At 55.4% G+C, this 22109-nt stretch overlaps 2 protein-coding genes across 3 annotated transcripts in view, besides 2 other annotated features; one reads left to right on the forward strand and one right to left on the reverse strand.

Moving 5' to 3' along the window:
- Nucleotides 1-22109, forward strand: part of RPTOR (regulatory associated protein of MTOR complex 1) — a 421531-nt gene that overhangs the window by 331564 nt on the left and 67858 nt on the right. Inside the window, exons 14-20 of one of the 2 annotated variants that reach the window (NM_020761.3) lie at nucleotides 4014-4088; nucleotides 7018-7083; nucleotides 7380-7571; nucleotides 8607-8747; nucleotides 15319-15436; nucleotides 16328-16468; nucleotides 17306-17464. In NM_020761.3, the coding sequence (NP_065812.1) occupies nucleotides 4014-4088; nucleotides 7018-7083; nucleotides 7380-7571; nucleotides 8607-8747; nucleotides 15319-15436; nucleotides 16328-16468; nucleotides 17306-17464 (892 nt within the window). The remainder of the gene's footprint in view (nucleotides 1-4013; nucleotides 4089-7017; nucleotides 7084-7379; nucleotides 7572-8606; nucleotides 8748-15318; nucleotides 15437-16327; nucleotides 16469-17305; nucleotides 17465-22109) is intronic. The other variant, NM_001163034.2, reaches the window with a different exon arrangement.
- Nucleotides 924-973: an enhancer, noted in NCBI's record as "active region_12948". NCBI's record gives its function as "activates an Ori minimal core promoter by ATAC-STARR-seq in GM12878 lymphoblastoid cells {active_cell/tissue: GM12878}" and the evidence as "EXISTENCE:reporter gene assay evidence [ECO:0000049][PMID:35858748]".
- Nucleotides 2191-2790: an enhancer, noted in NCBI's record as "H3K4me1 hESC enhancer chr17:78852392-78852991 (GRCh37/hg19 assembly coordinates)". NCBI's record gives its function as "activates a minimal SCP1, AML or CMV promoter by ChIP-STARR-seq in naive H9 embryonic stem cells {active_cell/tissue: H9 hESC(naive)}" and the evidence as "EXISTENCE:reporter gene assay evidence [ECO:0000049][PMID:30033119]".
- On the reverse strand, nucleotides 11708-15770 carry LOC124904075 (uncharacterized). The gene is made up of 2 exons (XM_047437253.1): nucleotides 13859-15770; nucleotides 11708-12047 (listed from the first exon to the last, which is right to left on the reverse strand). Exons 1-2 carry the CDS (start codon nucleotides 14341-14343, stop codon nucleotides 12023-12025), a joined length of 510 nt encoding a protein of 169 aa, XP_047293209.1. The 5' UTR covers nucleotides 14344-15770; the 3' UTR covers nucleotides 11708-12022.

A 22109-nucleotide genomic window follows, 5' to 3' on the forward strand; every position in this document is an offset into this window, starting at 1 on the left:
GAGCCCGTGCCACGCAGGGTGTGTGTGTCGCCTGCCGTGTCTTCCCACCGAGCCCGTGCCACGCAGGGTGTGTGTGTCGCCTGCCGTGTCTTCCCACCGAGCCCGTGCCACGCAGGGTGTGTGTGTCGCCTGCCGTGTCTTCCCACCGAGCCTGTGCCACGCAGGGTGTGTGTGTCGCCTGCCGGGTCTTCCACCAAGCCCCTCCGCCCAGGATGTGTGTGTCGCCTGCTGGGTCTTCACACCGAGCCCGTGCCACGCAGGGTGTGTGTGTCGCCTGCCGGGTCTTCCACCAAGCCCCTCCACCCAGGATGTGTGTGTCGCCTGCCGGGTCTTCCACCGAGCCCGTGCCACGCAGGGTGTGTGTGTCGCCTGCCGGGTCTTCCACCGAGCCCGTGCCACACAGGGTGTGTGTGTCGCCTGCCGGGTCTTCCACCGAGCCCGTGCCACACAGGGTGTGTGTGTCGCCTGCTGGGTTTTCCACCGAGCCTGTGCCATGCAGGGTGTGTGTGTCGCCTGCCGGGTCTTCCCACCGAGCCCGTGCCACTCAGGGTGTGTGTGTCGCCTGCCGGGTCTTCCACCGAGCCCGTGCCATGCAGGGTGTGTGTGTCGCCTGCTGGGTCTTCCCACCGAGCCCGTGCCGCCCAGGATGTGTGTGTGTCGCCTGCTGGGTCTTCCCACTGAGCCCGTGCCACGCAGGGAGTGTGTGTTGCCTGCTGGCTGCCGTTCTGCGCGTGTGTGGTTTCAAGTCTTGTTTCCTCTTCTGTTTAACGAGGCCCTTGGTCTAAGTGTGCTTGTAATTTGGGCGAGTGAGCAGCAGCCGAGAGAGTCCACCCCAGTCCCCCTAGCCAGCGAAGTGGGAGCTCCCAGGTTCCTGCCTGCGGGGAGGGTGGGGGCGGTTTGAGTTAGTGAAAATGTGTGTATTAAACAGATATGTAAATGACCCCTGCCGAGCGCTGAAAATGAAGGTATGAAAAGGCATCATCATCCGTGGTTCCCACCTGGCATAATGACCGTATCAGAACAGACATCTGGTAGTATACACCACATAGTTGCCAGACTCCGATACCAAGGGCACATCTAAGTTCTCCCACCCTGATTTGCATGCCTCAAATTCAGAATTAGTGAGATTTGAGTCAGTGATGCTTCATTACACTCTCGTGAGACATGTTTGAGGAGCTTCACCGTGAATGTGTGGGCTTCGATTTGACTTGTGGAACCTGTGGTTAAAACAAAGGAAGGTGCCTTCATTCTCAGAACCCAGTGCTTTTTCTGTTGCCCTGGCCCTCTGGGCTGAGTCTTTACGTGGACGGCGGTCGATGCATCTCAGTTTATTTGTCAAAACCTTCAGCTAAAGCCAGTTGTTGCTTGAAAACTGCCTGCTTAATTGGCCTCCTCAGCTCGGGGGAGCAGCTTGCAATCTGAGGCCGGCGCCTGGCTCCCTGACCACCCGCTCCCCATCGTGCTCAGCTCTCATTCCAGCAGCCCAGCCCATAACCCGCCTCATCAGTGTATTGATGTGAGGCAGAAACACCTCATTGTAAGAGCACCCCTGAGAAATGGCGGGGTTAGGGGCTTCTGGGCTGCATAACCAGCAGATTCCCTCTGCAAAACTGCTCCTGCCTCAGTGGGAAAGGGCCAGCTGTGCAGGGCTGCACTGGAGAGCCGTTCTCTTCTTGATCCTCAGGCATCCAGTTCTTAAAATTCCGGCCCTCTGTCCTTGCATGGCCTTCGTCCTCTGGAAAGGAGCATGCTGGGAGCTGGCAGAACGCACGCCTCACTCTGTCGATGCAGTGTCTGTCACTGCTCAGTTTCTAGGTATTGATCCTAGAAACCCATGCTCTGTGGGTCCCTCTCCAAGAAACACAGCATCCATGATTTGTACATCGCACTGCAGTTTCAGACTGCTTTCACATGCGTGGTTTCATCTCTGACTCCACGACCTGAGCACAGATTTTTTTTTTTTGAGACGTAGTCTTGCTCTGTCGCCCAGGCTGGAATGCAGTGGTGCGATCTCAGCTCACTACAGCCTCCGCCTCCCAGGTTCCAGCGATTCTCCTGCCTCAGCCTCCCGAGTAGCTGGGACTACAGGCACGCACCACCACACCCTGCTAATTTTTGTATTTTTTAGTAGAGACAGGATTTCACCATATTGGCCAGGCTGGTCTCGAACTCCTGACCTTGTGACCCGCCTGTCTCAGCCTCCCAAAGTGCTGGGATTATAGGCATGAGCCACCACGCCCAGCTGAGCACAGATTTTTAAAACTTTACCTGGGTCCCTGACTAGTAAGAGGGAGAACCTGGACTTGAAACTTAGTTTTGTTTCAAATCTTGCCCCTTTTCCTCGGGTTTTGGGCAAATACTTCCCGAAGTATTATCGTTACCCCTGAATATCCAAGGCAGGATCATTTTATTCCCTTCCAGAGCCAGCACTTGCAGAAGTGTCCCCAAGTTAGGCAGCCTGGTGTGGCTTCCGGTAACACTGCCAGCCTCAGAGCCGGCCTGTTTCCTCCAGGACGCCCACAGGACCCTCGGAAGCCCCTTCCTCTAGGGGCCCGTCCCTCCTCCTTCCCCAGGCCCCGTCCCCCGCCTTGCCCTCTGAAAGTGGTCTTCAGCACCACCCGATAAGCGGTGACTTCTCATCTTAGAAGCCTGGCTTGGGTCAGGTTCTGCGTTTCGGCTGTGCGCGCCCCGGAGCAGCCCTGCTTGTGTCTCATCATCGATGCCTCAGCTGCAGTGTGCCCCACTGTAACCCCTCCGGGATGAAAACGCAACCCACCTCTTCAGTGGGCAGCCCTCCACTTGGATCCTCGCATCCCTGGCATCATCTCCGTCCTCTGTCCTTGCTGACCCAGCTCCAACCCAGCCTGTCTGACCCGTAGCCCACCTGCCATGTCCTTCCCGGCTGCAGCTCCTGCTGGGCTCTGCAGCCCCTCCTGCCCAACGCCACCTGCCCCCGCCTGCCCTGCTCCTGCTTGCCCTTCCCCTGCCCCTGCCCCCGCCTGCCCTGCCCCCACCTGCCCTGCCCCTTTCTCCTCCCACTCCCACATCCCGGGCCTGGACCTGCCATTTCCTAGCAGCAGGAGTCTTTTCCCTCGATCCCACCCTTCCCCTTCTTCCCTCACTGCCCTGGACAGTTCTGTCTGCTCATCAGCGTAAAGAGGTCTCCAAAAAGTACAAGACCCTCCCTCTCCCCGCTTTCCAAGCACCCTATGGTGCCTCTCGCTGCTCCTTCAGGAACTGTGAGCAGGGCACAAATACCTAGTGCTCAGCACCCAGTAGGCCCTCACGACTGTGCCGAGCCATGGCCGTGTGGCTGTGATTGTGCTGACAGCACACAGTAGGTCCTCACGACTGAGGCGAGTCATGGCCACGTGACTGTGAATGTGTAGACAGGCACAGAATGGCCTGAAGCGTGGGAAGGTCGCCTGCCTGGCAGCAGCTTTAGCACCAGGAAACCTCCCACCTTGGGGCTGCCCCTGAGGGTGAACAAGTGGGGCCAGTGGGAAGCACCTGCTCAAGTGGGACTGTGCACACAAATCACTGGGAATTACTGCCTCACACACGATTGGTTTTCAGCATTTTGTAAGTCCAAGCAAACCCCCAAGAAAAGCTTGAGCGGGACCGGGTCTGCACCAACAGGCTGGTTCTGAGTGAGTGCTGGATGGATGTGCTCCAGTGTGGAGGGCAGAGGGAGGGAGCGGGACCCCTGGAGAGGAGCGGGGTGCAGGCAGGGGCTGCAGGGCACTCCCCAGCAGGTGCCCGGACGTTGTGAAAGAAAACGTCTGGGAGCTGCTTTCCTCTGGGCGTTCGTGGGATCCCTCCCCTTCTTAGCCAAGGAAAGCATGTCTGCAGGCACCGGCTGCAGCTGTTTTTCAAATGAAAACTGGGCTTGAAAGGAGGAAATAATTGAGGTATAAGAAGTCCCTGCCCTTATTCGTTCACGCACCATGAGAAGCTTGTGGCATCTGCGGGACACTGCACTCACTGCCTCTCCTCTGTCTCTTTCTGTCCAGTCGTGCCAAGCGGACCTCGTGAAGGACAACGGCCACAAGTACTTCCTGTCGGTCCTGGCGGACCCCTACATGCCAGTAAGGACGGGGCAGCACGCTCTCCACGGGCTTGGGACTCAGCACTCGCCTCTGCCCACACGCTGCACTGCGGTGGGGCCTTTTGACGGGGGCTACAGGAGAAAGGTCAAGGGTCACAGCAGGGGCCACGTCCACGGGGTCAGCAACTGCTTCACGTTAGACATGGCCCTTTGCTTACTACCATGAGCGCAGCTGTTATTTCGTGTCTGTCTCTAAACAAGAGCTCAGTTAACCCGGACACATGGGTGGTTTTAGTTTATTTTAGTCTCTTTTCACTGGGACTTCTTTGCAAAATAGTCAAATCCACTCTCCCTGCTGTCCGCCGCGTTAGACTAGTGAGCGCCGCACGTCTGTAATATGAGAGTTCAGGCGCCTGGGAAGGTCTTGGAGCACAAGAAGATATCGAAGCACCCCATTTCAGGAAGGAAGGGAGAGAGGAAAGGAAGGAAAGAAGGTTGTTTGAAAGTTTAAATTTTCAGTATACTTTATTGTATTAAATTGTTTGAAAATTAGTAATCCATGAATAGGGTGTATAGTTATTCTATAAATGTTTCATAATGTTTTAATTTCTAACTCCCAGCTTAGTAATGAGAACAAAATAGATATATCCTAAATAATTCTTTAACATAACTTAATATTGCCAGAATATTTAAACATATTAGCTAGTTTACACAGTGTTCGGTGGCTTTGCTGTATAAAGGAACTTTTGTATGTAATTTCACCCCCTAGTTGGTTTTCTAAGCTAAAGGATTTTTTAAAACACAAAACAAACAGGACTATTTTCCAAAAGGTAAACAGTATGTGCACTTTGTGTTGTATTGAAACATCACAGGCAGTTAAAGTTGATACTTTGTATCAGTTTTGGAAACCATCACTTCCCATTCTTAAGAATAAGGAAGAAAGCAAATCCCACATGAAGAAGTGAGGAAGAATGCTCACTGGCGACTTGGGCGCGAGGGTGAGCTAAGCTCACATGAACGGCCCCACCTCAGCCACGAGCCTGCGGAAGTTTTGAGGACACAGCCAGGTTTGAAAGAATGAAAAGGAGGCTGGGTATGGTGGCTCACACCTGTAATCCCAGCGCTTTGGGAGGCCAAGGCTGACAGACTGCTTGAGCTCGGGAGTTCGAGACCAGCCTGGGCGACATGGTGAAACCCCGTTTCTACCAAAAATACAAAAAAATTTGTCTGGCGTTGTGGCACACGCCTGTGGTCTCAGCTACTCAGGAGGCTGCAGTGGGAGGATCGCCTGAGCCCGGGGAAGTCAAGGCTGCAATGAGCTGTGACTGTACAACTGCACTCCAGCCTGAGCAACAGAGTGAGACCCCGTCTCCACTCAATAAATAAATAATATAAATATTCTTAAATGACTGACTAGAAAGAATTTGCTATGATTCTGTCAAACCATCAACCATTGTTTTGTTTCTTCAGTGCTTTGTGCCTGTTATGAGAAAACATTCAGTGCTTCCTACTCATCCTCAGAAACGATTGATTTTTCTAAACTCATAAGCAGATCTGAAAAAACAAATTGAAGCTGTGAAAAAGAAAAGACATGCACTGTTATTGAAAACTCTGGAGATGAATTAAATCACAGAACAGACAGCCAAGAAGAGAATTCATGAAGGAGCCACCTGGAGCGCCGTCCATGAAGCTAAGCGAGAAGATATGAAAGCCGGGCTAAGAGCCGGGCTGGGAACGTTCACCATGTAGCCAGCATGGTTCAGAATGAGAGGAGAATAAGTAGAGAAGCAGTTTTTGATTAGATAGTGGCTGAGAATTTTCCAGATTTGAAGAAAGGAGAGTTCCGATTTTAAAAGCAGGATGAATCCTGAGAAGGTTAAAGAGAAACAAATTCGTACATAGACGCATCATAATGAAAACAGCAAATATCGAAGGCATAAAGACAAACCTTAAAAGTCCCCAGAACAAACGTTATTAGCAAAGGAGGAGACAGCACCGGCCCCAACAGCAGACCTCTCATCAGCAGCGGCTCTCGGCCGGGGACAGGGGAGCCCTCGGCGTGCGAGGAAAGCGACCACGGTCGGGTCACCTGCACCCAGCTCAGTCACCACTCAGGAATGGGGGTGTAGTAAGCAGCGTTCAGACACCAACAGTTTACTCCTTCCGAACCCCACAGACCATGGCTAGAAAGACCACATGTCAGCGAGGAGGAAACGGAACCAGGAGGGGAAAGCAAGATGCAGGACACGGCAAAAAGCCAAGAAGTTGGCACACGTGTTGGCACATCTATAGATTTGTAAAAATGAAGAATACTCATGGCGAATTGGAGGGTTAAACAAGAGGAGGACTCAGGTACCCTGGGAGCCCTGCAATAATCCAAGGAGCCCTGCAATAATCCAAGAGGCGCGTAGGACACTAGACCGCGCGACGTGTGTGTAAAAAACTAAGGCACCGCTAAAAAGTTACAAATAGACTCTGGTTTCCAGGTCAGCGGAGGCACAGAGGAAAGGACAGAATGAAAATGAGTCACAGTAGAGCAGAAAGGAGAAACCAGTGAAACCTAGAGCGCTGCCTCCATGCCTTTTGCTGCCAAAGCCCCTGATTGCAGGACCGTGTGCTCACAGAGTGCTGGGCAGGCTGGGGAGGTGAGGTCCGGGTGCTTCATACCGACAGCCACGGCTGGCCTGTGACAGAGGAGGCATCCACCAGGTCTGTGCCCGTCTTGCAGTGTTAGGGCTTCCAAGGAGCAGTCTGTTCACTCCGGGAGGCGAGCCTGGAGCTCTAAGGCCTTTGAAAACAGCTGTTCTTTTTTGTAGAGTCCACGTAAAATCCAGGAGTAAAGCTGGCTCTCGTTACTTTAATTATGCGCCACGCGTGTCATGAAGATTCCGAAAGGATCACGCTGTTGTACTTTGGGAATGAGAGTTTCCACTGAGGGGAGACGACCAGGACTGGTTTTTGTTTTCCAGGCTGAACACCGGACCATGACGGCTTTCATTCTCGCCGTGATCGTCAACAGCTATCACACGGGGCAGGTGAGCCCCCCAGCCACCCCCAGCCCCAGAGCTCACCCTTGGCATTGCAGAGGAGCTGGGCCCACTGTGAAACGTGGTGCCACATGGGGGACAGGGGGTGTCCAGCAGAGGCTCTGACCCTTCATCTAGCCAGCCATTTGCAGGCTGAATATGAATCAGAGGAATCTAAAATGGGGAAAATTGAGCAAATCAAGGCTTCCCAAGAATGGGTGGCCACCGTTGTCCCGTGCAGGTACCCACCACGTGCCTGCCATTGGCAGGCAGAGGCCAACCTGTCTGTGGTCCCGCCTCTGCAGGAAGCCTGCCTTCAGGGAAACCTCATTGCCATCTGCCTGGAGCAGCTCAACGACCCGCACCCCTTGCTGCGCCAGTGGGTGGCCATCTGCCTCGGCAGGATCTGGCAGAACTTCGACTCGGCGAGGTGGTGCGGCGTGAGGGACAGCGCTCATGAGAAGCTCTACAGCCTCCTCTCCGACCCCATTCCCGAGGTGAGTCAGGCGGGGGCTCAGAGTCCAGTCCTCCTGGCTGCCGACTGCGGGGGTAAGGCAGAGGTCTGCTCGCGTGCGGGTGTGGCCGGCCACGTGTCCAGGAACTTCAGGGGCTGCACGCTAATAAGAGTAGGACAGTGGGACCTTGGTGAGAAGAGAACCACACCACTGGGGATTTTGCACCCAGGCCCAGAGTGCGCTCCCGGGGACAGTGGCACAGCTGCAAGCGGGGGTCCCAGAGGGAACCTCAGAGGCAGGGGTCACGTGCTCGCTGTCCGGGTGCCGCTCTGCGTCCTCACTGTGGCCTGCAAGGCAGGGACCACTAGATCTCCACTTTACGGGCAAGGAGTCAGGCCAGTGGCTCGTGCCTGGTGCAGCTGGGAAAGGTGCGGGGCACTGCCCACAGAGTGGCCGCGGGCTGGAACTCTGGGAGTTTCATGCACCATTGCCTTCACTCTTCCCACCGGCCTGTGCAGTGCACAGGGTGTTGCTCATTTTTAGAGCTGAGGAAGCAGACTCAGGGACAGTGACTTCTCCCCAGGACCACATGGTGTCAGAGGCAAGGGCTAAGCCAGGGTCCCCGGACCCCAGGGCCAGCACAGTGTCGCTCCCCTGGCTGAGCCCTGTGTGCTCAGTGCACTTCAGGGCCCCCATGCCCCTCTGCGTCCAGGAGTGCCTGCGCCCTCCCCTCTTTCCACCCTCCCACGCTCTGTGGCCCATCCCAGCCCCCTCGTCTAACTCCTGCCTCGTTCATCAGCACATTCCCTGGTGCCTGGTTTGGTGTTTCAGTTCCCGGGGCAATGCAGCTCCCGCCTCTGCAGTCTGAGCTGCCCCTGGAGCTGGGCGGCTGCCCCTGCTGCTCCCCACCTCCTTCCCCGTTGCCACTCTGATAGTGCGAGGAGAGCCTTGGGCCTGGAGAGCTGTTGAGCAAGCGCCTGTGGGGTTGGATTCACCTGCACACACAGCCCTGGCAGAAAGGCAGGCTGCAGCATGGCCCGGTGTGGGACATGCCTGTGACCCCCCGCCGCCTTGCAGGTCCGCTGCGCAGCGGTCTTCGCCCTTGGCACGTTCGTGGGCAACTCTGCAGAGAGGACGGACCACTCCACCACCATCGACCACAACGTGGCCATGATGCTGGCCCAGCTGGTCAGCGACGGGAGCCCCATGGTCCGGAAGGTGCGTGAACCCCCAGCCCGGCAGCAGCAGGGCACCCAGGCTGGACCCCGTGACACCTGGGGCCAAGCCCGCATGGCCCTGACCACAGCAGGGAGCACTCAGTTTCCACTGCGTGTCATTGCGAGAGCAGATCTTTACATGTTTCATTCTCTTCAAGTTGCGTTTCTTTACCAGACACCCATGGGTTTGCTTCATTTAAAGGCATCTAGCAGGCTGCGCCTCCCGGCAGCTTGTGTAGTAGTCTCCTTCCTGCCTGGGAGCAACACACACAGGCACCACTGCGATTCCAAAGAGACGCAGCCACCCACAGATGGCGGGAAGGTTTGTGTGCTGGGTCCCCCCCAACACCCCATGTACGTCAGCGACTGAACAAAACAGTTTTATGTTTTGTTTTGTTTTGTTTTTGTTTTTTTGAGATGGAGTCTCTCTCTGTTGCCCAGGCTGGAGTGCAGTGGCGTGATCTTGGCTCACTGCAAGCTCCGCCTCCCGGGTTCATGCCATCTCCTCCTCAGCCTCCCGAGTAACTGGGACTACAGGTGCCCGCCACCACACTCGGCTAATTTTTTGTATTTTTAGTAGAGATGGGGTTTCACTGTGTTAGCCAGGATGGTCTCGATCTCCTGACATCGTGATCCACCCACCTCAGTCTCCCAAAGTGCTGAGATTACAGGCGTGAGCCACCGCGCCCGGCCAAAACAGTTTTATAAACTTGAAAACTTACTTACCTGTTTAGATGTAGAAATATCACAGATGATCGTCCAAGGTTTCACACCCTCAGATTCCCCACCCACCCCAGCGCAAAAGGGGCGTTTAGGAAGACACTGGTTTCCTGATCTCCTTTGCTGGTGAGATGGAAGGCTGCTCTTGCAGAGAACTCATCTGACAGCTGGAGCACAGAGCTGCTCTATGGGCAGGGAGTGTGTCTCCCCGTCAGGTGGCGTTGGCCACCCTCGTGCGTTCCCGTGCTGGCTGTGTGTGGCTCCCTCTTGGAGATGGGCTTTATCATGAGACGGGCCGTGGTCCAGGGGCCTGGGGGTTGTTTGTCTGGAGAGCAGCTGCCGCTGCTTTACTTGGGAGGGACGTGACCCGGACAGGTTTCCCTCAGCCAGACGAAGTGTGGAAAGTCACGTTCTATCGTGTGTACCCTTCTAGAATTAGCCCAAGTCATGAGTATGCTACATTTTCTAACGAAATCTTGAAAATAGGAAGTGAGGTTCCGGGCTGCCTTTTCTGTTGGTTCTGACTTTGTTGCCATCACGTTCTCCTCGTGGCCGGGTTTCTGAACCTGGCTTCTTTTGGCCCCTGCTGAATTCTTTTTCCCACATCAACTCACGTTTGGTGGACATCACTGATCAAAGCAGCAAATCAGCGGTTTGTCTGCTAAAATTCTTTTTAAAGTAAGGAAAGCTTTGTTTCTTCTTTACAAAAACGATATGAAAATAGAGAGGACGTTAGCTGTGAGGCGTTCCCCAAGAGCCATCCCGTGGCCGGGCTGTGGCCCTGTGGTGTGGCCCTGGCTGCTGAGGCACTGAGACGAAGCTCCCCCTCCACCGGGAGCGGTCCGGCGTCACTCGCCTGCACGGCTGCCTGCTGAACCTGCATCCTGGAGATGTGGCCCGCGAGGACACCGTGGGGTTCGGAGGAGGTGCTGCCAACCGGGACGCAGCTGTCTCGGGGATGCTGGGCAGGGCGTGTAGAGGGGGATGACAGCCCCTGCCCTCCGGGAGCACGTGGTCTAATCAAAGAGGCAGATACAGATAAGGTCATTACACCAGAGCCTTGTGGAGAAATACTGCCTGGAGTGCTGTGGAGCTCCTGAGGGCTGTGCCTGTGCCTGCATCGGAGCGGGAAGGGTGTCAGCAGAGGCTTTTGTGGAGGGGCAGCTCTTACCTGGTTATGGAGGGTGAGCAGGAGAAGCAGCCAACAGAGCTGATAACGCCAGCTGGCAGGGTGATGTCTGGAGGGAGGAAGGCTAGCGAGGAGTCAGAGAAAGACACCGTCACTCACCTGTGACCAAGCGGGCTGCACTGGCGCGCAGACTCCGGAGGTGCGCTGGCTCTGAGGGGCTGTGCTGACTCTGGGGGGTGCCAGCTCGGGGGGTGCGCTGGCTCTGAGGGGGTGTGCTGACTCTGAGGGGTGCCACCTCGGGGGGTGCGCTGGCTCTGAGGGGGTGTGCTGACTCTGGGGGGTGCCAGCTCGGGGGGTGTACCGACTCCGGGGGTGTGCTGACTCTTGGGGGGGGTGCTGACTCCAGGGGTGCGCCTCCATCCTCGTCATAGAGTCCTGCCGCATCACAGCTGGTTTTCTCTTCTGTTTACTAACCACCATGGGCAGGCACGGTGCTCTGCAGGGGACTTGGGCACAGGTGCAAGCACCAAGGAGCCTGGCGGCGTGGAGCCGGCCCCATTCTCGCAGCCTCTTCTCAAGGACCATCCTGAGCCCGTCCTGAGCCTGCTGTGGGGCTGGGGTTGGGGAGTAGAACTGGCTGAGAGGCTCCTGGCACCCTCTGGGGTGGGAGAGAGGAGGGTGTTACTGCTGCTTTTCCATAAAAGCAACGTGTACTGGTTACCAAAAAGGTTACATCCATCCTACTTTTTAATAATAAAAGTGTCCTCTCCTGTGTGGGGTGATAACGATGGCCGAGTAGGTTTTGTTTGTTGACTTGTTTAATGAGCTTACTTGACAAAATTTAAAAGTCAGCAAATTCAGCTTAGCCCCCAAATTATTTTGAACTTCAACCTGTCTTTGAAGTACAAAACCTGCAGTCAGCAGCCACCCGTCCCTTGTCAAGAAGGGCCAGGCCAGGGGTGCGGGGCTAGAACCCCCAGTGTCACCCCAGCCTCTGCCTGGGCCGGGCTGGGCAGGAGCCGCACACAGGGACGGGCTCAGCGGGGCTTGGATGGGGGCTTACTCCCTCCCTGTCATGGCCTCGGGAGGAAATAAGGACTGTTCAGATACTATTTTATTTTATTTGTTTTATTTTATTTTGAAACAGAGTCTCTGTCACCCAGATTGGAATACAGTGGCACAATCTCGGCTCACTGCAACCTCTGCCTCCCGGGCTCAAGCGATCCTCCCACCTCAGCCTCCTGAGTAGCTGGGACCACAGGCGCGTGCCACCATGCTGGGCTAATTTTTGTATTTTTTGTAGAGATGGGGTCTCGCTGTGTTGCCCCAGGCTGGCCTCAAATTCCTGGGCTCAAGTGATCCACTCTGTAATCCCAGGCCTTGGTCTCCCAAGATGCTTCCCAGGACGCTGCTCGGGCCTGCTGTGGTCACAGGAGCTGAGTTTTATGATGCCTGAGCACAGGTCACAAGACAAATATTAGCCAGTGCTGTGTTGTTGGAGCGGAGTGGGTGGCCCTCAGGGCAGGTGGGCAAGGGGTAGAGGCGAGGTGGGCCAGTAGCCCATGGTCAGTGCAGCCGTGTCAACACTGGGAAGTGTGTGGGCCCCCAGCGGGGCAGGACATGTGTCCAAGAAAGATGTCCTTGAGTCCTGGCACCAGTTCACGGTTAGAAACTAACCATGTGCTACAGACGACACCCCTGCAGGGAGGGCTGCACCCACCCAGAACACACTTGTCAGGCACGTGCCACGTGCCGGGCCGGCTGGGGCCTCAGTGACCCCGCAGGGCACTAACCCTGCCTCTTCTCTCAAGAAAGTTACCCCTGGAGCTGGGGGAGGGGCTGGGTGTGAGAGTGGTGGGCCGGGGTGGCAGCTGAGCAGAGCCAGTATGGATGGGGCTGGGGGCACAGGGAGGCCTTGCCACAGGGAGAGGCCCAGTGCAGGGGCTGTGCCCATCAGAGGGCGTGGGCACAAGAGGCCAGGAGGGCAGTGGGGCAGGTGGCCCAGCCAGGCACAAGCCTTGTCGTTCGTGATCAGAGGCCTGGAGGGGTTTGGGGGCAGGACCTCACCTTCGGCTGCCCAGGTGAGAGGGGCCGCTCGCCCAGCTGCAGGGACGGCGCAGGAGGGAAGAGGCACCAGCACTTTGAATGCGGAGCTCACAGCACTTGCTCACAGGTGGAGAGGGTACGAGAAAAGAAGAGGACAGGGAATCCTGGGGGTTTGGGTCTGAGCAACAGAAGAGCAGAGTTGCCCCTCGTTGAAGGGGCCAGCCATGAAGGAGCAGGTTCCAGGATCACGCATGGACTCTGAAGGTGGGGAGCCGACAGGAAGGGCTGAGCTGACAGGTGAAAGTATGAGTCCAGGCAAAGCTGCCTCCCTTTCGAGGAAGGCTGCTCAGCCCCAGCCAGGGAGCAGGAGGACAGACAATGGCTTTGACAAGCGACCGGTCAGAGGACCTGGGAAGCCTGGCCAGTGTGGAGCCCGTGGCCACTAATGTGGCCTCCCCGTCTGTGTGCTGCTGGGGAGCCCTCAGGGGGAAGGGGTCACATGACAACACCAGCCAAGCTCATCTTGCAAAAGCTGAGAGAGAGGGGAGCTCCCACACCCCTGGCTGAGCACCTCTGCCAGACCCTCTGATGGGTTCTGCATGAATATCCTAAAGAAGGCCAGTGCGTGTGTGTGTTGCTGTCAGAGCCCAGCTCCATTCAGGAAGGGCAGGAAGGGTCCAACGCAAAGGAGAGCTCTTTGCTGTGTGCCAGGCAGCAGCCTCCAGAGCGAGGCCCGCCATCTCCAGCAGGATGTGCGGCCTCCAAGGGAGGCCCCCGTACGCAGCAGGATGTGCGGCCTCCGAGGGAGGCCCCCGTATGCAGCAGGATGTGCGGCCTCCGAGGGAGGCCCCCGTACGCAGCAGGATGTGCGGCCTCCGAGGGAGGCCCCCGTACGCAGCAGGATGTGCGGCCTCCGAGGGAGGCCCCCGTACACAGCAGGATGTGCGGCCTCCGAGGGAGGCCCCCGTACGCAGCAGGATGTGTGTTCGGGAGTGAGGGAGGCCCCTGTATGCAGCAGGATGTGTGTTCAGGAGTGAGGGATGTGCGGCCCCCGAGGGAGGCCCCGTGCGCAGCAGGATGTGTGTTCGGGAGTGAGTGCTCTCTGGACATTCCCCTTGAATAACAGACGTGGCCCCTGTTGGCCTCCCCTGAATCGAAGGGCCCACCACCTCGGTGCACGTTAATCCATGCCAGCTCCCAGCTCTGGCTTTTCTCACCTGATGTCAGAAGGAAAGGGAAAAAAATCGGTGCTTTCTGAAGACAGGTGCAGCCTTGATCTTCCCTGGAAGGGGCCCAGTGGGTGTTCGCTTTGTCGGAGGCCCCGTCTCGGCAGTGCCTCACTCCTCTTGCACAGGGAAGGCAGCGGGGGTTCTGTGGTTTGCCAGGGGAGCCTGGGACAGTGACTTAGGCAGTTGGAGACGAGCGCCAGAACCGGGGCGTGGGCCATGGCCGTGAAGACGCACACTGGGCCATGGCCCTTGGTGCCCAGCAGGGTGGGAGGGGCGGGTGGAGGGTGATGCCAGGGCTCCATTCTGAGCAGTGAGAGACTTGCAGTTCCATCGGCGCAAATCAAGAGGGCGCTGCAGGCTGAAGGGAAAGTAGACGGTGCCCGCAGTTCATAGGGCAGGGAGAGTTTGGGGTGCAGGTGAAGAGCCGGCAGCTGGACAGCCAGCCTGGACCTAGGAGAGTGAGGGGCCGGCATCAGGGAAACCACAAAGCATGATAGGAGGAAGCCCGGGGCATGTAAGGCTGGGGTGGGAAAGTGCGTGTACAGAGAGTGCGTAGACGGAGAGTGGGGTGGCCACGAGAAGACCCTGGTCCCTGGTGGGCGCCCATCCAGAGCCTGCTCATCCAGCCGCTGTGGAGACAGGGGCGTCACGCGACTAGCAAGGGGTCCTCTCACAGCGCTTGGCTTTCTGCTAAGAATCCGTATTTTTTCTTTTCAGAAAAAAAAAAGGCAGAAAAAGTTGTCGTAGGGAAAAAAACGTTCTTTCCGCTTTTTAAACCTACATCCCCCTTCTGTTCCCCAGTGACTTCTAGGATCTCCAGCTGTTCCTGTCACAGCACTGAACTGTCCTAAAAGAGAGGCAAATTGTGTCTGTTCCCTTGGACCAAGGCATTTGGTCCTAAAGATGATGTTTTAGTTCTACAACTTTTCCCGTTCCCTCTTAGGGACTAGAAACATCTACCAATGAAAGTTTCACATGTGTTGAAAAGAGCAGGCTTCGGCTTGTCCGCTGCACTCGGCCCTGGGGCGCTCAGATTCAGAAAGGCCGCCAGCCATCGGGTGTGATCTAGAGCGGCGTTTTCAGCCAGGGTCCCAGTGGTCACCGTAAGCGAGAGGCTGTGAGGCCTCCTACCTTTCCCTCTCTGGAGTCCTGTGACTCACCGTGTCCTTACGAGACCCCCGATGCGTCGTGCGCCTCTAGCAGTGGGGAGGATTCTGGCAGGCATTCTGGGCTTCCCCCGTGAGCCAGTGGCCTGCCGTCTCCCAGCACTCTGCTATTCCAAGGCCTCTGCTCTGACGGTTCGAAAAGGGATGGTCCCTGTTTCTGATGCCAATTGCACGGTTTTGTCTTAACCTTTCTTTTTTCTGTTGGTGACTCAAGTCTCACTGCTGCTCCACAATCATTTTCCAGCCCCAGTGACTGTTATTGTCCCTTCTCCCTCTCGGCAGGAGCTGGTGGTGGCTCTGAGTCATCTTGTGGTTCAGTATGAAAGCAATTTCTGCACCGTGGCCCTGCAGTTCATAGAAGAGGAAAAGAACTACGCCTTGCCTTCTCCAGCAACCACAGGTATGGCGTCTTCTCCTGTGAACCCGCAGAGCACCTCGCCTGGCGGTTCTAGTGCAGGCCGCGGCCCAGTCTTGCTCACCCTCGCAGAGTCTAAGCGCAGGTTTCTCAGATACCTGCCGCAAGGGGTCCCTGTTTTTCTCATCTTTTTAGGCACCTGCCAGATTTAAAAGGGCAGGAAAGAGGGCCACACTGACCCTCTTACATTTTTCCTTTCTTTTTACCCTTTTTGGAAATTAAACTCACAGAGACCTTGAAGTATGACAAAACTTCTGCAGTAGGAGCTTGCGGAAAAGCGCAGGGGCCGTCTTCCTGCGATGAGTAATTTCATCACACTGCTCTTGGCTCCGTGGCTCGGTGAGTCATGTCAGGCGTGCTTTCTCACACGTGTCGTTTTGACTGGAGAGTACAGTTCCTATCTCATCGCTGCCGGCAGCCCCTCCCGCTTCCACACAGCCGTCTCTGCCGTGCAGGGGCTTGTCATCAGCAGTGAGGCCTCACTGCTTCTAGGAAGCCCAGGAGGGGAGAAGGGTGAGCCAGACTGAGTGTGGACGGTCATTGCTCTGCTGCGGCTTCCCGGGGAGCACGGCTCACGGCCCACGTCACCATGCACCTCGTGTGCACTCGGACAGGCCGCAGCCACCAGCCTCTCCCCTGTTGTCTTTTGTAATTTAATATGCACAGAGCCACAAGCGGTTGTTGTTTGTCCAGTGCTATCCCGCAGAGCCTCCGCTCACGTCTGAGTCTCCCTGAGCTGTGCAGCCCCTGCTCTGACATTTGTTGCAGCACAGGTAGCAGCTGCCGTCACCGAGTGTCCCAGCTGCTGAGTGTCAGAAGACACGCTGGCCTCCACCTGGAAGCCCATTGTAATTTGTCTTTCTCCTTCTTTCCCAGAGGGAGGGAGTTTGACCCCAGTGCGAGACAGCCCGTGCACCCCCAGACTTCGTTCTGTGAGCTCCTATGGAAACATCCGTGCTGTCGCCACAGCCAGGAGCCTCAACAAATCTTTGCAGAACCTGAGTTTGACAGAGGAATGTAAGATCCTGGAAATCGGGTTATTGGATTGGGAGAGATTGGGGTTGTTTTTTCTGAAACACTGTATCTGAGTAAGCACCACTCTGCCCCTGCCCCTTCGTCTAAGTGCGTGCCCTGAAGTCCCATCTGCCAACATGGTGATGAGTCACCCTTCCAGACGTGAGCATGGCAAGGAGGCGTAGGCCAGCCCCCAGAATAGCCAGCGGGCCCGTTACCAATGCGGCAGGGAGCTCAAGCGCAGCCGCAGTTGAGGCGGTGGCTCCTTGGAGGGCTGTGCCCTGCCCCCGTCTCCCAGTAACCTGTGGTCTGCGGGTGGGGAGCTTGGCTCCCAGGGAGATCAGTGAGTGCCTGTGCCTGTGTGTGCGCCGGGGCGTGTGTGCCAGGGTGTGTGCGCCAGGGTGCGTGTGTACCAGGGTGTGTGTGCGCCGGGTGTGTGTGTGCGCCAGGTGTGTGCGCGCGCCAGGTGTGTGTGCGCCAGGGTGTGTGTGTGCTGGGTGTGTGTGCACAAGGGTGTGTGCATGCCAGGGTGTGTGTGTGTGTGTACAAGGGTGTGTGTGTGCCAGGGTGTGTGTACTGGGTGTGTATACGCGCCAGGTTGTGTCTGTACGCGCCAGGGTGTGTGCGCCAGGGTGTGTGTGTATGAGGGTGTGTGTATGTCGGGTGTGTGTACATGCCAGGGTGTGTGCGCACCAGGGTGTGTGTGTACCAGGGTGTGTTTGTGCCTGGGTGTGCTGAGCTTTATTTAGAAGAAAATATGTATCTCAGTCATGCCATTAACTGTAAGACCAAAAGGAGGGTCCCGGGAGCACCCCACTGACCCCGTTGCGTCTCGGGCAGCTGGTGGCGCGGTGGCGTTCTCCCCCGGAAACCTCAGCACCAGCAGCAGCGCCAGCAGCACCCTGGGCAGCCCCGAGAATGAGGAGCATATCCTGTCCTTCGAGACCATCGACAAGATGCGCCGCGCCAGCTCCTACTCCTCCCTCAACTCCCTCATCGGTGAGTCCGCCTGCCCCTTTCTGCTTCCGAGGGGCCCCGAGGGTCTCCTCCCCACACAGAGCAGCACAGACCTGTGTCTGCATCAGGTCAGTGGGTGTCAAAACTGTCTGTTCAAAAGAAAGAATAAAGGTCAACAGGACTGCGAGGCAGGGAGAACGTTTTGCTGGGGCAAGCGGGAAAGTTGACATCACTGTTGTGTTGGGGTAGTATTTTACAGGCTGCTCCGGAGCCATCGGAGCTGGCCAGTTTGGCTGGGTGGGAAGGCTGCCAGAACCTTCCATCTTTGTTCCATAGACGGGTGAGAGTTCTTCATGGTGCTGGACACCCTGGTGATGCAGAACGGTGGTTCTCAGCCGGGGGTGGTTTTGCCCCCCACGAGCAACTGGGGTACAGTAGGGGTGCTCCTTGTCCCAGTGGGTGAGGCCAGGAAGCTGCTCACATCCCCTGGTGCCCAGGACAGCCCCCACACAGTGTCCGCAGTGAGAGGCGGAGGGCCCTGCGGTCGGGCTGGGGGCTGTCATCCCCGCCCTGCTCACCTGCGGAATCTCCACACAACTTTCCCTCCATCCCAGCAGCTTGACGCAGCACTGCCTGGAAATGGAAATCTGACGGAAGGGTCAGATTCTTCTCTTGTTCTGCCATGAATGGTGTGTGCCTGGGTCCTACCACCAGGATTGCTGTTGTAAAACAGGAGAAGCAGGAATTCACCGTGTTTTCTTATTGTGTAGCTATGTTCATCTTCACACTGCTGGTAACAGATTTAGGGCTTAACCAAATGAGCCTCATCTCCTCTTGTTCTGACTATCCAGAGTGGCTTACCGGCTTCATTTGAATTTTTTTCATGTTAAGGAGCATTTTAGCCATGTAAAAATTTACAGAGACTTATATAAGAGCGCTGCGTGTGTGTGTGTGTGTGTTGTGTTCCCAGCTTAAGGAATTACAGAGGTCGAGCCCCAGACCCTACCCCGGTCCCATTCCCTCTGGTGACATTACACTTTCCCTCCCTGGCCATGAGCCCTGGCACACACGTGGTGCCCACTTAGAGGCCTTTACCTCCTATTGGCGCCGTCGCACGATGCGTGGCCCGCAAAGCCCGTTTCTTTGGCTCTGACTTCAATATGTATCTTTGATGGTCATCTAGGTTTTGTTCCTTCACCTCCGCGATCTGCCGTGACTCCATTATCCATTCTCCTGTCTGGGGACAGTGAGGCCGGTTCTAGTTTCTTCTTGCCTTTTGTTCCTTTTCTTAATAAGCAAACTCAGAATTCAGCCCCTGCCACCATGGAGCCCCACATCCAACACACCCTCACTCGCTGCACCCAGCTCTGCTGGGCCCCAGCCTACCCGGCCCCCAGCCTGGGCATCGGTGGGGAAGCTCTTCTCCGGCATATGGTGGCCGCTCCCCTCTCATTCAGAGCCCCCATCTGGCAGCACCTTCCCAGAAGCCTCCCCAGCCCCACGCCCCACCTGGAATCAGGCTTCCCCAGCTGCCCTCTGACCCTGCTCCCTTTTCCTGCTTTATTTTTCTCCTGAGGACTGTGGACTGCAGACGTGCTGTACGTGTAACTTGTTCATTGGCCCGGCCCATCTCTCTCCCCTGGAGCTTGAGAGCCGCACGTGCAGGAACCCAGCCTTGTTAACCACTGTCTCCTCCCACCCTGTCCACACCCAGTGCCTGGTACGCAGTAGGTGCTCAATACACATAAACGGGCACGTGTGTGGTGCGTGTTCTTCAGCGTGGATACACGTGAGTGCCTCTCGCCACCTTGCCTCAGAGTGAAGCTGCTGCGTGAACGGTGCCTGCACCTTCAGCTTTTGTAGATGTCGCCCCAGGCCTTCCACGGGATCCTCTGTTCTAAAGCGCAGGCGCCCCCATCTCGCCACTCTCTACCACGCCGGTCTTGGCCAGCCTTTGTCTGTCTGATAGACACACCTGGTGTCTCCTTGTGGCATGAATTTGCATCTGCCTTGATTGCAGTGAGGTTACAGCCTTGCAGCCTTACAGACTCGCCTTGTGTCGTTTATCTTTCTCTGAGTAGTTTGTAATCAGCATTCATCACAGTTCTGGGTGCTGATTCCTGGCTGAATATATCCATCGAAAATGCATCTAATCTATGACTTTTTATGATGCCTTTGGTGCCACACAAGCTTAATCTTTTAGTTTCTCTTTTTCTTTATAACTTGGGCCTTTTGTGTCTTGTTTTTCCTATTCTCAATGTCCTAAACATATTCTCCTACATTTTCTTCCAAGATTTAAAATTTTCCTTTTTTGTGTTCATGTCTTAAGTATATCCTGAACCACATTTTGTCTCTGTGGTGAGGTGGGGATCCAGGTTGTATTTTTTCTTTATGCCACCCCAGACCCTTCATCAGACAGCCCGTCCTCCCGCCAGTGCTTCTCAGCGTCTCCCTGGCCATCAGTCCTTAGGGTCTGAGTGGGGGCTCCATTCTTAGCAGCACCCATCCCATCCACGGCCGCGCCGACACCCCACACAGCCGCCCCGACACCCCACGCGGCCTCGCTGACACCCCACGGCCGCAGCAACACCCCACACGGCCTCGCCAACACCCCACGGCCATGCCGACACCCCACACGGCCGCACCGACACATCCCACGGCCGCACCGACACACCCCACGGCCGCACCGACACCCCGCATAGCCACCCCGGCACCCCACGGCCGCGCCGACACCCCACACAGCCGCGCCGACACCCCACACGGCCGCGCCGTCACACCACAGCTGCGGGGGCAGCACCTTTGAGCCCGCTCCTCAGTTCGTTTCTCAGAACTGTCTTGGCCGCTCTTAGCCCTTTGCTCTGCTGTATACATTTCACAGTCAGGCTTTCTGTGTCGACAGCAGCCTCACTGGGGTGTTGTTTGAATGGCGCTGAATTGGTGGATTTCCCTGGGATGACTGACTTCCTTGCATCATGAGTCTTCCTGCTCCTGAACAGGGTGTATCTTTCCATTTACTTAAGTCTTCTTTATGTCTTCAAGACAGTCTAACTTTCTGCATAAAGGTCACAGGCATGACGTTACCTTTCAGTTTTTGTAATTTTAAGTAATATCTTTTTTAAAACCTGTTGCTGGCAAAAAAAGAAAGAATGCCAGTGGGCTGGGCACGGTCCCTCACGCCTGTAATCCCAGCACTTTGGGAGGCGGAGGCCGAGACGGGCGGATCACGAGGTCAGGAGATCAAGACCATCCCGGCCAACATGGTGAAACCCTGTCTCTACTATAAAAAAATTAGCCAGGTGTGGTGGTGCGCACCTGTAGTCCCAGCTACTGGAGGAGAATCACTTGAACCGGGGAGGCGGAGGTTGCAGTGAGCGGAGATCACACCACTGCACTCCAGCCTGGCAACAGAGCAAGACTCCATCTCAAAAAAAAAAAAAAGAATGGCAGTGGACATCTGTGTTTCTCTCTTGAGAGTAAACGAAACCTTTCTAACCTTTTACCTTTGATACGACATTTGCTGTAGATTTTTTGAGTGGGTGCTCTATATCAGTTTATAGAAATTCCCTTCCCTTTGGTTCACTCTTTTTATGAGTGCAAATTCCCATTCTATTCTAGTTAGTTAAGAATTTTCCTGATAAATGGAATTAATTTCTTTGAATGTATTTTCTGCATCTCAGAATGACCCTGTGCATGGCTGTTTGTTAGGGTAGGGAATTACATGATTGAATTTCTTGTGAAATATCCTTGCATTTCTGGGGGCACCCAGCGTGGTAATGTCCCCTGACATCGCTGCCTTACGCTCACCAGCTATTTCTTTGGGCGCTCCCCATTGGCATTCACGAGTGGGTTGGGCTGTGACTTTTCTTGTCCTGACCTGGCTGGTTTAGACATTGAGTCTGTACCTGCCTAGTAAAACTGGCTCCTCCGGGCATGGTGACAGGTGCCTGTAATCCCAGCTACTTGGGAGGCTGAGGCAGGAGAGTTGCTTGAATTCGGGCAGCAGAGGTTGCAGTGAGCCAAGATCACGCCACTGCACTCCAGCCTGGGTAATAGAGTGAGACTCCATCTCAAAACAAAAACAAAACAAAACAAAACAAAACTGGCTCAGGAGTGTACCCTCATTCCCTGTCCAAAAAAACTGGCTCAGGAGTGCGCCGTCATTCCCTGTCCTCGGGGGCAATTTTTATAAGACAAAGATGATGTGTTCTTTCGGTGTCTGAGTAGAATTTGCCCCTGAACTGTCTGGGCTAGTGTAGTGTTGTGAGGGTGGGTTTGAATTCTGTATTCCATTTCTTTAATGCTGATAGGATTATTTACATTCTCTATTTCTTCATAAGCTAGCTTCAAAAAGTTTTATTCTTCTAGGATTTTATTCATTTCAGCTAAGTATTCTCATTCTTTCCCTTGAGGCTGTCTGCAGTATTCTCATGAGTCTCTAATCTCTGCTGTCTCTTTATTGTTTTAGCTGCTTTTACTGATATTCCCAATCTGCTGCCTCTTTAGATATGTCCCCGTTTATTCCTATTGTTGTTTATTTGCCTTTTCCCCTTTTTCCTGATTAATCCTCTAAGATGTTTGTTCATTTCTTTAGTGTCTTCAAGTTCTAACTTTTAGGCTTTGTGGATTTACTGCATTATTTTATCTTTATTTTTCTATTCCAGTACTTTATTTTGTTTCCTTTCTACTG

This window comes from Homo sapiens, chromosome 17 (genome assembly GCF_000001405.40).
Source record: "Homo sapiens chromosome 17, GRCh38.p14 Primary Assembly".
Taxonomy (NCBI): Eukaryota; Metazoa; Chordata; class Mammalia; order Primates; family Hominidae; genus Homo; species Homo sapiens.